This window comes from Homo sapiens, chromosome 19 (assembly GCF_000001405.40).
Source record: "Homo sapiens chromosome 19, GRCh38.p14 Primary Assembly".
Taxonomy (NCBI): Eukaryota; Metazoa; Chordata; class Mammalia; order Primates; family Hominidae; genus Homo; species Homo sapiens.
In genome coordinates, this window is record NC_000019.10 from 28,514,773 (window position 1) to 28,528,151 (window position 13,379).

The 13,379-nt window shown below is 39.9% G+C and overlaps 1 pseudogene across 1 annotated transcript in view, besides 1 other annotated feature; it reads right to left on the bottom strand.

The window, feature by feature from the left end:
• Nucleotides 1-13,379, bottom strand: part of LOC100420587 (SHC binding and spindle associated 1 pseudogene) — a 292,307-nt pseudogene that overhangs the window by 79,385 nt on the left and 199,543 nt on the right. The window lies entirely within an intron of this gene.
• Nucleotides 11,310-11,604: a silencer, noted in NCBI's record as "tiled region #12624; K562 Repressive DNase matched - State 5:Enh". NCBI's record gives its function as "represses a minimal TATA promoter and a strong SV40 promoter by Sharpr-MPRA in K562 cells {active_cell/tissue: K562}" and the evidence as "EXISTENCE:reporter gene assay evidence [ECO:0000049][PMID:27701403]".

A 13,379-nucleotide genomic window follows, 5' to 3' on the forward strand; every position in this document is an offset into this window, starting at 1 on the left:
ATATTCACATGGATTAGTAAAATGTTTAAAACTCTTGTATAATACTTTGGCATTAAAAATAATAACTTTAAGGCCAACCATTAGAAGACTAGACATAAGATGTAATTTCTAAAACAGTAAAATAATGGAAGTGACAAAAAACAATAAAACAAGAAGAAGATATTTTAAGGCCAAAACATGAAATAAGATGGTAGTAATTATGTAAACACATCATTAGTCACAAATGTGAATTTAATCTCCTTTTTAAAGAGAGAAATTTTTAAATTGGAATGTTTTAAATTCAGCTGTATGTTATTTACAAAAAAGCATGCCTAAATTTGGAAAAAAAAAAAAAAAGAGAGAGAGGAAAATTTGAAAATAAAAAAATAAATGAAGATATACCAGGGAAATGCTAACTAAAAGAAAGCAGAAATGTCAATAGCAATAGTAGTCAAAATGGACTTCAAAGTGAGAGGCATTAAATGCATTAAATAGGAATGAGACATATTTATATTATAAAAATTACAGTTGCCTCCAAAATATAACAATCATTAACCTTTATGAACAGAGCAATATTATATTGGTATTTATAGAGTTAAAACTCCTGGAAACATAAGAGAAACTGACAAACCACAATCTTGGCGAGAGATTTTAAAACCTCTCCAAGAAATTAAGATACCAACTAGATGAAAAAAAATTAAGCCATAGAGGACATAAATAGTTATTGTACTTTCATATAAACTTCCAGTTTCTAATTTAATTAACTATATAGTTGCATTGCTAATATGAATTGTTCTCAGTAAAAAGGCTGCACAATGTTTTCAAATACCTGTTGGATTTTTTTTGTTTGTTTGTTTATTTACCAAACCAGGGTATTTAGCATATACATTACCTCCTACAGTTATTATTTATTTGTTGTGAGAACATTCAGAATTGTCTCTTCTTGCCTTTTTAGAGTATACAACAGAGAAATGTTAACCACAGTCACCCTCCTGTGTAATAGAACGCCAGAACTTATTCCTCCTATCTAACTGTAACTTCGTACTCACTGACCAACCTCTCCCTGTTTCCAGTGGAACAACCTTTAACTACCCTTTTATTAGTCAAAATAAATAAATAAATAAGTTGCCAAAAGTCAAAAATCACACAGGTCACATTCAGTGATCCAATAAAAATAAGTTTCGCAAACACCTCGTTTCGAAATTAAAGCAACTCTAAATATATCTTAGTTTAATGTGAATATCAAAACTGAAATTACATCTCTTGCCTGAGACCTAAAATAGTAAAACACATGGAAGAACACAGCAGGATGGTGGCTACCATGGCATTGAAGGAATGTGATGTGGGGAGTTGTTGTTCAACAAGGATAAAATCAGGTTTTTTTGTTTTGTTTTGCTTTGTTTTGAGACAGAGTCTTGTTCTGTCCCCCAGGCTGGAGTGCAGTGGCATGATCTTGGCTCACTGCAACCTCTGCTTTCCGGGTTCAAGCGATTCTCCTGCCTCAGCCTCCTGAGTTGCTGGGATTACAGACACATGCCACCATGCCCGGCTAATATTTGTATTTTTAGTAGAGATGGGCTTCTGCCATGTTGGCCAGGCTGGCTCCTGACCTCAGGTGACCCTCCCACCTCGGCCTCCCAAAGTGCTGGGATTACAGGTGTGAGCCACTGCACCCAGCCAAGATCAGTTTTAAGATGAGTAAGCTCCAGAGATCTGCTATACAATGCAGCCCCTGTGGTTAAAAATAATTTAAAGGGTAGATTTCATATTAAGCGTTCTTACCACAAAAGTGGGTGGAAACACAAGGCAACTCTGAGAAGTGATGGAGATGTTTATTACCTTGACTGTGGTGAGGGTAGCATGATATAGACACATGTCCAAACTCACTGAAGTGTATGCATTAATTATGTGCAGTTTTTTGATACACCAATTATACCTCAATAAAGCTGGGACAAAAAATTTGCTTACACTAAAATTACAAAGTAAATAGAAATAAATGTCAGTGAGAGTACTAAAGGTAGTTACTTTTTTTGGTCACTTTTATTCTTTTAGTATTTTAGAAATTACATCTTATGTCTAGTCTTCTAATGGTTGGCCTTAAAATTATTTCTTTAAATGACGAAGTATATGGATGTCACCAAAGCCATATTTGATGCCAATTTTGGTCACATTTGCATTTATTAGCACACATGAAAGACCAAAAATAGAATAAGAATTATACTCAAGAAGGTAAATGTAAATACATCCTTAAAAAGTAGAAATTTAATAAAAATACAGCAGAAATCAGAAAATTCTTTTAAATGAATACTAACTCATAACCAAATGTGTCATCCTGAGAATGTAAGAACATGGCAACATTAGGAAATTTATGCAAAAAAAAATACACTATATAGAAAAGGGGATGCCACGTGGTCAGCTCAAGAGGCAGAAACACATTCTGTTCCCCCCCTCCCCCAATATTTTATTATCCAGGAAAAAATTTAAACTTTCTTAACTTGATAAAAGGTAGCTTTCAAAACCTACAATAAATAACATACTTAGAGTGGCAGCATTAGAAATCTATTAAACCCAATATACAGTAACTATCATCTTAACTATCCAGCATTATTCCAGAGGTCCTGGAAAACTCCAGAAAATGAAAACAAGAAATTCTATTAATATTCAAAAGGAAGGCAGGCTGGGCGCGGTGGCTCATGCCTGTAATTCTAGCATTTTGGGAGGCTGAGGCAGGCGGATCACTTGCGGTCAGGAGTTTGAGACCAGCCTGGCCAACATGGTGAAACCTCATTTCTACTAAAAAAAAAATACAAAAAAACTTAGCCGGGCATGGTGGCACGCACCTGTAATCCCAGCTACTCAGGAGGCTGAGGCAGGAGAATTGCTTGAACCCGAGAGGTGGAGGTTGCAGTGAGCCAAGATTGTCCCACTGCACTCCAGCCTGGGTGACAGAGCGAGACGCTGTCTCAAAAAAAAAAAAAAAAAAAAAAAGAAAAAAAATATGTATTCAATAGGAAGAAATAAAACCTAATCTACTGATTATAAACATGATTGTTTATACAAAAAATAATCAGCTAAAAATTGTTAGAATCTATGAGTTTAGTAAGGTGGCCAAATAAAACAACATTCCCAAACCAATAGGTTTCCTGCACACCAGTAGTAATCAATTAGAAAAAGTTGAATTTCAGTATTTATAGTTTTCTAGGAATTAGTCTATTTCTTCTAAGTTGTAGACATTATGAATATAGCATCATCCTTTTCATGACTGAAGGATCTGTAGAGATATTTCCTGCTTTATCTGGACATTGGTGATCTGTGTCTTTTTTTCTATTGTGTCAGCCTTGAAAAAGATAAAAAGAAATTGACCAGGAGATTTGTCAATTTTACTGATTTTTTTTAAAAAGAACTGCCTTTTAAATTTTATTGATGTTCTCTCATTGTTCACCTGTTTTCAATTTTATAATTGAAAACATCTTTAAAAAGCAGAAATGTATGGTATCTTTCTCATTTCTATCTGTTTGCTTTGAGTTTACGTTGTTCTTCTTTTTCTAGGTTTTTCGTGGAAAGCCTCTGAAACGTCTACCTGGAGCTCTCTGTGTAGTTGTATGGATACCTCCCCAGGTGTGCCTCTCTGAGAGGACAGGTCTGCCTTGAGCTATAAACATGGCATTTGTCGGCCAGGCGCAGTGGCTCAAGCCTGTAATCCCAGCACTTTGGGAGGCCAAGGCGGGTGGATCACAAGGTCAGCAGTTTGAGACCAGCCTGACCAACATGGTGAAACCCCATCTCTACTAAAAATACAAAAAAATTAGCTGGGCGTGGTGGCGGGCACCTGTAGTCCCAGCTACTCGGGAGGCTGAGGCAGGAAGAATGGCGTGAACCCCAGAGGTGGAGCTTGCAGTGAGCTGAGATTGCACCACCGCACTCCAGCCTGGGCAACAGAGCGAGACTCCGTCTCAGAGAAAAAAAAAAAAAAGGAAAAACAACCCTGGCATTTGTCAGCATGCATGCTGTTGAAAGCTGTGGGATTAGATGAGGTGATAAGGTGCAATTGTGTAGGCAGGGCCCAGGACAAAGCTGCAGTGTTTTAAGGTCTGGAGAAGAAAATCCAGCAAAGGGGACTGAGGGATGGCAGGAGCGAGGAGGAAGAGAATCAGTCAGAAATAATGTCACTTTGGGAGGCAAGGCGGGCAGATCACCTGAAGTCAGGAGTTTGAGACCAGCCTCGCCAACATGATGAAACCCCATCTCTACTAAAAATACAAAAATTAGCCAGGTGTGGTGGCAGGTGCCTATAATCCCAGCTACTCGTGAGGCTGAGGTGGGAGAATCACTTGAACCTGGGAGGCGGAGGTTGCAGCGAGCCAAGTTTGCACCATTGCACTCCAGCCTGGGCGACAGAGTGAGACTCCATCTCAAAAAAAGAGAGGAAAAAAAAAGGTCAAAAGAGCAGCACTTTTCAGAAGGAAAACATGGACAACTGTGCCATGCTGATGAGAGATCAAACAAGATGAAGTCCTAAATGGTTCACTGGAAGCAGCAACGTGGAAGCCCCTGGTGACTTTGACATGAGCAGTTTCACTGGAGTGTGGCAGACAGAATCTGACTGAGGAGCTGGGGGTCAGGGCGGGAGGGGGTGCTCAGCAGGCAAGGGTGTCACATTTGTTAATGAAGACGGTGTCACATTTGTTAATGAAGATGTTCTCTCCTTTGAATGAGATGATGCATTTAGTGTGTAACAGTGTCCGGCTCACAGTCGGGCCTTGCTAACACTTTGCTTTCACTCACTTCCTTATCTTTCATTCACTGACCAGAAAGGTTAATGGTGGCTGTTCCTCTTTTGAAAAGCGGATTGGGAACACCAGCATAGCTATTTTGACACTGGGATTTCTGTTAGAAAAGTAGATGTGACTTATTCCCTTTGGGTGGAACTCCTTTTCTAGAAAGGGAGGCAACACACATGTTGGGTAAATCTCAGTTTCTAGAGTCAGGCTGCCATAAGTTAAATCTCAGTTCCGCCCCCGAGACATGTAGCTATGGGGATTTTACATGAACTCCCGAGTCTCAGTTTTCTCACCATCAACCATTCATCAGAATAGTGCCTACCTCACCAATGCACACCTTAAGCACCTGGCGCCTCTGTTAGCTACCATTTAAGTTGAGAATTTCCCTGTGAGGTTTTTTCAGAGGAGGTTCCTTCTACAATAAACCACCAAGTACTTGGTCCCCTTTTGCAGAAATCCATCCACACCATGTGTAAACACAGGGGCTGGGAACTTGCATGGTAAACCAGGTCAGCCAAACACGGATTAACAATGCCAGGCCCATTTCACCTGCAAAGTATCAGCGACTCTTCAATCGGCAGGTCCCCAGCTGCCTTGCAGCACAGCCAGGGCCTAGCATAGCGCTGCCTCCTTCCCTTTCACTTGTCCTCAGGAATCCCCGGAGATCCAGGGTGAGGCTCCTTTAGTCTAATGAGAAGGAGGCATTCTGACTTTTTAGGTTATTTTCTCTTCCCAGCCCCTGGCAGATGGAAAAAGAAAACAAAACAAAACAAAACAAAAAAACAAACAAAAAAAACCCCGCCACAATAATTGCTGCTTGCATGAATGACCTCAATACGGGAAGAGTGCTGAGCGCCTAAGTCCTTGCACTGCTGCCAGGCCTGGCGTCATCATGATTAACACAGCAATCACCGGCCAGGGAGCCGGGCCGCTCTGCCTACCAGACACCCTGACTGGGTGACTTACGGCTTTATATTTTTAAATTGGCCTCTCTAGCACCGTCTGATAAATCAACACACAAGTCATTAAATGGTTCATTATCCCAGTAATATGATTCATTCTTTGTGCCAAGAAATGCAGGAGATGTCAGGAAACTTAAAAATATCTCATTTGAAGCCATGAGTGCCCATCTACATAACAGATTAACTGGATGAGAGAGAGTGGTTGGACATGGAGGTCAAAGAGAAGACTCAGCAGGTGGTGGTCTTACCTGCAGCAGTCCTTTACCTCCTGCTGAAAAATGTAAGTCACACTCTCACTAGGCAGGCTCTGTGCTGGCCACACTTTCTCCCTCATAGGCTCAGAAGGCGGTCATGCTGGCTGCAGGCACCTGCTAGAGAATTCACAGCCGAGGGCACTCAGCTAGGGTCATTCCTATAGGAAGAACACCAAGTCCAGAAGATGACGGGGCCATGTGCTATGGAAGAAAGAGCACTCGGTCCCAGTTCTGCCACCAGGTCTGAAACTCTGGGTACATTGCTTGAAATGAAATCACAATACTTTGTTGTCATCATCTGTCAAACAAGAAAGTCATTCTCCACATTTTTTCAAGTTCTTTCTAGCTCTAAGATTCTATGACTCTAGTGTGTTGGAGGAGAAGAGAGGAAGGCAGAGTTGAGAGCTTGGTCAGAGCTGAGTTCCAATGTATCTGATATGTGGATTATGTAGGAGACTCTTCCACCAAATCTACATACACTATTTTGCATGAAGGTTGCTAATTTATGTTGATTGTGTCAGTGATGGCTCCTTTAGTAGAAAGAAGAAAAAAAATCTAAATGAAACTGGCTTAAGCACTAAGGACATTTATTTGTTTGTGTATTCTGCAACCTCTGAATGTTTGCTTTGGTCTCCATTACAACACCTGGGACTAGAAGAGTCCCTAGACTCATGGAACTTAATTCTAGTTGGGGAAATAGATAATAAACAAAACATATGTAACTATATTATCTAATGTCAGGTAATGACAAATGCAATGAAGACAAACAAACAGGACAGGTGAATAGAGAGATCCTTTTTTACACAGAATGGTGATGGAAGGTCTCTTTAAGGCAATTAATAGCTGATACAATGTTGGTAAATAAAGGTATGACAAGAAGACTATGAGACCTTCAGAGAAGATTCCTGCCAGGAAGCACGACTACCAAGAGCACAGATATGTGGTTAAGCATACCAGGCGAACCCAGTGAACTAGATTTCTGTGGAGGATGGAAGGAACCAGCATGGTCCACCCTGTTGGGGAGCTCAGAATGGAGCTGACAGTGTTGGCTGAGAAGTTTGGAAGGGTTCCTATGACAGGGCCACATGTTGCTGTAACCAAGAGCTCAGCATCTGCCAAGGACTCAAGTGAATCTTCAGGCAGATTTCTACAGCCCCCACTTGCTCAGCTCCCTCTTCTCCAGTGGCCTCCCTCACAAACTCCAACAGTCCACAACCCTGATCTCTAAATACTCGGCTTAGTGAGATCAATGCTTTTGTTGAGTTTCTACCTCTCTGCATTTCAGAAAAAAACCCCAAAAAAACAAACAAAAAAAACGGCCCAAGAAAGAAAGCTGGGACCCCCTTTTTAGAGGCACGTGAACCAGAACAACTCCATCTTGAATAGGAGCTGGGTAAAATAAGGCTGAAACCTACTGGGCTTCATTCCCAGATGGTTACGGCATTCTAAGTCACAGGATGAGATAAGAGGTCGGCACAAGATACAGGTAATAAAGACCTTGCTGATAAAACAGGTTTCAGTAAGGAAGCCGGCTAAATCCTCCCAAAACCAAGATGGCCACAAGAGTGACTCTGGCCATCCTCACTGCTACACTCCCACCAGCAACATGACAGTTTACAAATACCATGGCAACGTTGGGAAGTTACCTTATATGGTCTAAAAAGGGGATGCAGGAATAATCCACCCCTTCTTTAGCATATCATCAAGAAATAACCATAAACATGGGCAACCAGCAGCCCTCAGGGCTGCTCTGTCTATGGAGTAGCCATTCTTTTATTGCTTTACTTTCTTAATAAACTTGCTTTCACTTTGCACTGCAGACTCAACCTAAATTCTTTCTTGCGTGAGATCCAAGAACCCTCTCTTGGGGTCTGGATTGGGACCCGTTTCCTGTAACATATTTCTCCGTCCTGCAACATATTTCTGGCCACCATGAACGTATGATACTGAGAAAACCCCCCCGACTTGGAGGAAATGGACTGCGGCACTGATTGGATGACTTCGGGTAAGTGGGTGGGGCACCCAAGTAAAGAATGGGATTGGGTTAGAGGCCCAACTTAGGGGAGTTAGTCTCTCCTAAGACAGAGTGGGTTAGAAGCCCCTCTTAATAAAAGGCAGAATGCTTGACGGACCTTGGGTTAGAGGCCCAACTTAGGAGGGTTAGAGTCCCTTCTAAGATGTATGGGGTTAGAGGCCCCTCTCAGTAAAGTCCCTCTTGGCTAAAACCAGGTTTGGCACCGCAGGTTATGCTCTTTGTATTAATCTGCCTCGTACTGTTTGCTGACGGCTGTGTGTGGGTGACAGGGTTAGGCATGTACAGGATTGTGGGACATGGGGAGCTTTTTCCTCCCTAAAAGGGGAAACTTGAGCACTAATAGGATTGCTGGAAAAGATCCATTGGCTACTGACAAGCAGCCGCCTGAACTTTTCAGTGTCGCTGCAATGGGTGGGTCTTTCTCTGGCCTCCCCAAGCATTTCTCGCCTTCCCCACCCTGCCCCAGGCAATGCTTTTCTCTCTCTCCTTTCCCTTTCCCATCTGTTCTGTTACTCAGGGTGACCATCTTGCCCAGAGACCACGTGTTGAAACTCCAATTTGGAGGCTGGATTAAAGGTGACGGGGTCCACCCATCTGGGGGCAAATTTAAGCCCTGCCAGTTTGACATTGCATGCTAAGCAGAGTGGCTAATGTCTATGTTTTATCACATGTATTTTGCTCTGGCCAGAACGAAAACAATAATTTTCCTTTATGATGCAGCTTGGCCCCCAGGGCGATGGTGCCGCAAGCTGGATTACTAGGGGCGCTCAGGGAAAGGGAATCCAGAAGCCTGGCACGCCAGCAAAAGGGCAAGAATTTCTTACCAGTCAGATTTCTGGCTTCTCTCTGTGCAAACAGTTGATGTATGGAAAAAAAACAAAATCAGTATTTATCTCCTCTGTAAAGTTTTGATTAATGCGAAAAAGAATTCTAAGGCTAGTCTTAACCTAGTGTGTTTGGTGCTATGAATTTGTTTTTCTGTGTCAAGGGGTACTTCAGGATAAAACACAGGCTTAGAACACCTGTCAGTCCGCTTTTCAAGATGACCCAGCAGCTGGTCATAACAAACTTGGCTGCAGGTCCCTGAAACAAACAAACAGACAAAAAAACTGGATGAAGTCTCCACCTTGTTTTATGTCCTTGGGAGCTTGACGTTTTAATCACGTGGTGATACCTTTTCTTGGTCTCTTCCTTGTCCCTTCCAGGGACAGGAATTTTAGGGTTCATGTAATAGCTCTAAAAAATCATACTGAATAAAATCATATTAAATAAAAGTCTTTGCAAACTCAAAATTAACTACTCTAGACTCCTTCTGGGAAAGAAAATGGAGACTGCCCCTTGCTGTAGCTCAGTAGCTAGGGTTTTGCACTTTCGCAGTGGTGGTCCGGGTTCAATTTTTCATGTAGGAAGTTATTTCTGGTTTAGTATCTGTGTGACCTTGTCTATTCTCTTGTGCTTCGCAGACTGTCTTAAATTTTCCTTTCTCTAAGGACATGGGAGGTTACCTGTGGTAAAGTTCAAAAGCTAGAAATATCAGCTATTTGGCATTAGAAATTTTAAAAGGACATTATTAAAGAGTGCTACGGTTAAAATCAATTTAATTAAAAGCAGATAGATTCCTCTCAAAATCAAAGGCTATTTTGTTTTGCATTGTTATCGACAGTTTTGAGTTTTGGGGGTATCAGAAATTACTTTACATTATGAGAGAGCTTTGGTGTGTAATAACTATGTAGGAAATATACTTTAAGGGATGGCTAATAGTAGTTATGGAAGGATACTTGACTCTTTGCACACTTGGATCAGAGAAGCATGCTCTTGGCCACCTGAAAGATGATTAAACATCCCCACCCCACACTGGGGGACGAGACTCCCATAAGGGATAGTCTAATTACAAAATAGGCTGATTGGCTTTGGGTTGCCTTGCAATGAAATGCAGGAGAGAAGCACTGCATTGTCTTCTCCCGAAATATTTCCCTCCTTTTGGGGATCCAGGAACCGGTATAAAATGACACTCTTAATTTGGGGGATCTGTCTTTGCCTTCAGCTGCTTATTTGGCCCTAGAAATGCATGCTTTCCTGGCCCTGTTCCTCCAAGGGCTCCACCCTGAAGCCAGTAATCCAGTTAAGAAAGGTGGTTCACACCTGTAATCCTAGTACTTTGGGAGGCCCAGGCAGGTTGATCACGAGGTCAGGAGTTCGAGATCAGACTGGCCAATATGCTTAAACCTGTCTCTACTAAAAATACAAAATTTAGCCGGGCATGGTGGTGGGTGTCTGTAATCCCAGCTACTCAGGAGGCTGAGGCAGGAGAATCACTTGAACCTGGGAGGCGGAGGTTGCAGTGTGATGAGATTGCCCCATTGCACCACAGCCTGGGCAATAGCGTGAGACTCCATCTCAAAAAAAGAAGGAAGGAAGGAAGGAAGGAAGGAAGGAAGGAAGGAAGGAAAGAAGGAAGGATGGAAGGGAGAAAATGGCAAATGAAAAATCTTACAAGTGCTGAATCTTCTGTCTGTGGATTTATATATGTTGCATGTTTATAGATAAAAGAGCTCTAATTAACTGGCTTAGAAAAATAGGCACTTAAATATTTTGTCAGAAAAACAGGAACTTTAATGCCTTTTTGTTCATGTGACTTTAGTAATCTTTTGGAAATAATGACAGTTCTAAAAATTATTAGTAAAATAAAATGTCTTTAAAAATGTAGACATTTGGTCTAAATTAACGTCAAATATCAGATTTGCTAAATGCTTTAAGGTCAAATTGTTTTTCTGACTTTTGAAAATTGTTCAATTTGGCTGGGCCCAGTGGCTCACGCCTGTAATCCCAGCACTTTGGGAGGCTGAGGCAGGTGGATCATCTGAGGTCAGGAGTTCGAGACCAGCCTGACCAACATGGTGAAACCCTGTCTCTACTAAGAATACAAAAATTAGCTGGGCCTGGTGGCAGGTGCCTGTAATCTCAGCTACTTGGGAGGCTGAGGCAGGAGAATCGCTTGAACCCGGGAGGTGGAGGTTGTGGTGAGTGGAGATTGCACCATTGCATTTCAGCCTGGGTGACAGAGCAAGGTTCCAACTCAAAAAAAATATAAATAAATAAATAAAAGAAAAAAGAAAAATGTTCAATTTACCTACTTTAAAGTCATTAGCTTCTAGATAAGGGCTGGGACATGTGGAATTAGCCATACTCCCTAGCTATACAAACAAGATTATAAAGAAAGAGATTTTACATAAGAAGGGATCTCACATGGTAAATTCTTGTCCTAAAGTAAAATAACTGGTTGTTTAAAAGGAGGGATGTTTAAGGCAAGTCAGAAAGTCCAAGAATGACTCAGATGGTCTGTGTAAGTCGTGAAAGGAACTGTGAAAGGGAATTTATGCAAGAAATGTACAATCCAAAGGTTCTTAGGCCTCCTAAATCCTTCATAAAATGCCACTATGACTCTTACTTAAGTAAGAGTAAGGCCTGGGGACATTTGGAATTAGCCACACTCCCTAGCTGTGCTAGAGAGTCAGCTCTTATCTGCACTTTTGCCTGGTGTGTCCTAGGCAGGCTACACACTAGTACACAATTAAAATCTCGAATTTACCAAGGTTTTCACCAAAAATAAAAGTTGCTAAGAGTTAACATTATAACATGTAATTAAGACTACTGAAGAAACAGTTTTACATGCAAGGTGTGTAAGAAAAGCAAAATGTGTTTTTGGTTAAAAAAAAAAAAAGATTATAAGAAGTCATGGGAATGTGGTTTTTTTTCTGCCTAAAATGTTAAAGGATTGTTTTAAGTAAGAAAAAAAAATTTTTTTAAACTAGTTGTGGAAGGTTTATAAAAATTAATTGTAAGAGATTCTGTGTTTGAACATATTGGCTAAAGTTAAAGGAATATTATTCACTAAACATTGGAATAAAAGCACAATGGGTTTTTCTGCTCTTTCACAAAAAATGTAAAGAGTTATAAAAGGTTTATAAGAATCTTTCCTTATGGTTAAACATTAAAATTGGGTAAATATGTCTATAAGGTTTTATATAAAAATTGGATTTAACATTAATAGTACATTAAAATAAAGGTAAAATTTGGCTTAATTGATGTAAAATTCATACAGGAAGCATTATCAAATGTAAAATGGTGTTTTTCTTTCTTTAGATATTTGCATAAATGTGTTATTGGCATATGTTCCAAAGTTATGGAAAACTTCTATAATTCTAATATAACTTAGTGTATGTTATTAATAATTATAATTGTTATGTAAAATTCTGTGTACCACATAGGTAACCAAATTTCCTGATCAATTATGGCTTTAATGGTGGCTGTCCTCAAACTTTTTATCATCCACAGGCAATTGCTGTCTTGTTTTAATCCCCTTTAAAAGATGGTTTGTAATCAACTATAAAACCCTGGCAGGTGTTAAATACAAGTTTTTCTAATAACTTTGGAAATTGTAATATTAAAATAAAGAAAACAACATTCAAAACTCTCATAAAAAGCTAAAATGTTTACAAATATCAAATACAACAGAAATTAACAGAACCAATAGGAAACTGAAGTAATCTTTTCAACTTTGCTTAAAACACTGCTAATCCTTTGTTTTGTTTTTCAGAGTCAAAAAAAAAACTTTTTTAAGCTATTTACAGCTTATAACAATTGAGTAAAGTATACTGCTGTGAAAAAAAAATGGAAACATATTTTTCTCTACCTAATTTTTCCAAAATTTAGGAACTAGTTGTAAGTATGCTTAACTTATGGCAATATAATTATTTGTATAAGTGCAATAAAAATCTGTTTTCTTTTGTAACAAGACACAATTGAAGAAACTGGTCATTTTACCAAGGCTTTAACTGGAATGGTGTGTTTTCCCTTAAGAAATTAAACTTAACTTGTAGAGCCAATAAAAGCCTCATGGGAAACTGGCCTCATACCTTGCCTACAACAGTGCCTGTACAGGGTTTCTGACCTGTGGTAAGTAAAGAATGCCACTTTCTAACAGGTCCAGAAGCCACAAGTTATCTTGGGACCTCAAGAGGAAAGAAATTTACCAAACTCATAGGTATTTGATGGTACAAACCCATGGATAAGCTTGGCCTTAAAAGCCTTATCTAAAATTCCTTCTATGGAACAGAATTCCATCAAAGCCAATTTAAAAAGAACCTATGTGAAAAATAATTATTCTTGCTGCACTTTATACAAATAATCAGGCCAAGTATAATAAAGCAAATTGGTCTTACCATAATTTGCATTTAGCAAAAATGGGAAACTGGAGAGAGAAATATTTTGTTTCAAAAACTATGGTATACTTGTTATTAAATTCTAGTCTCATCAGTCATTTTGAAGTTTGTTTCTGCAATAAGCAGGCTAACTCTTCTTCTTCCGG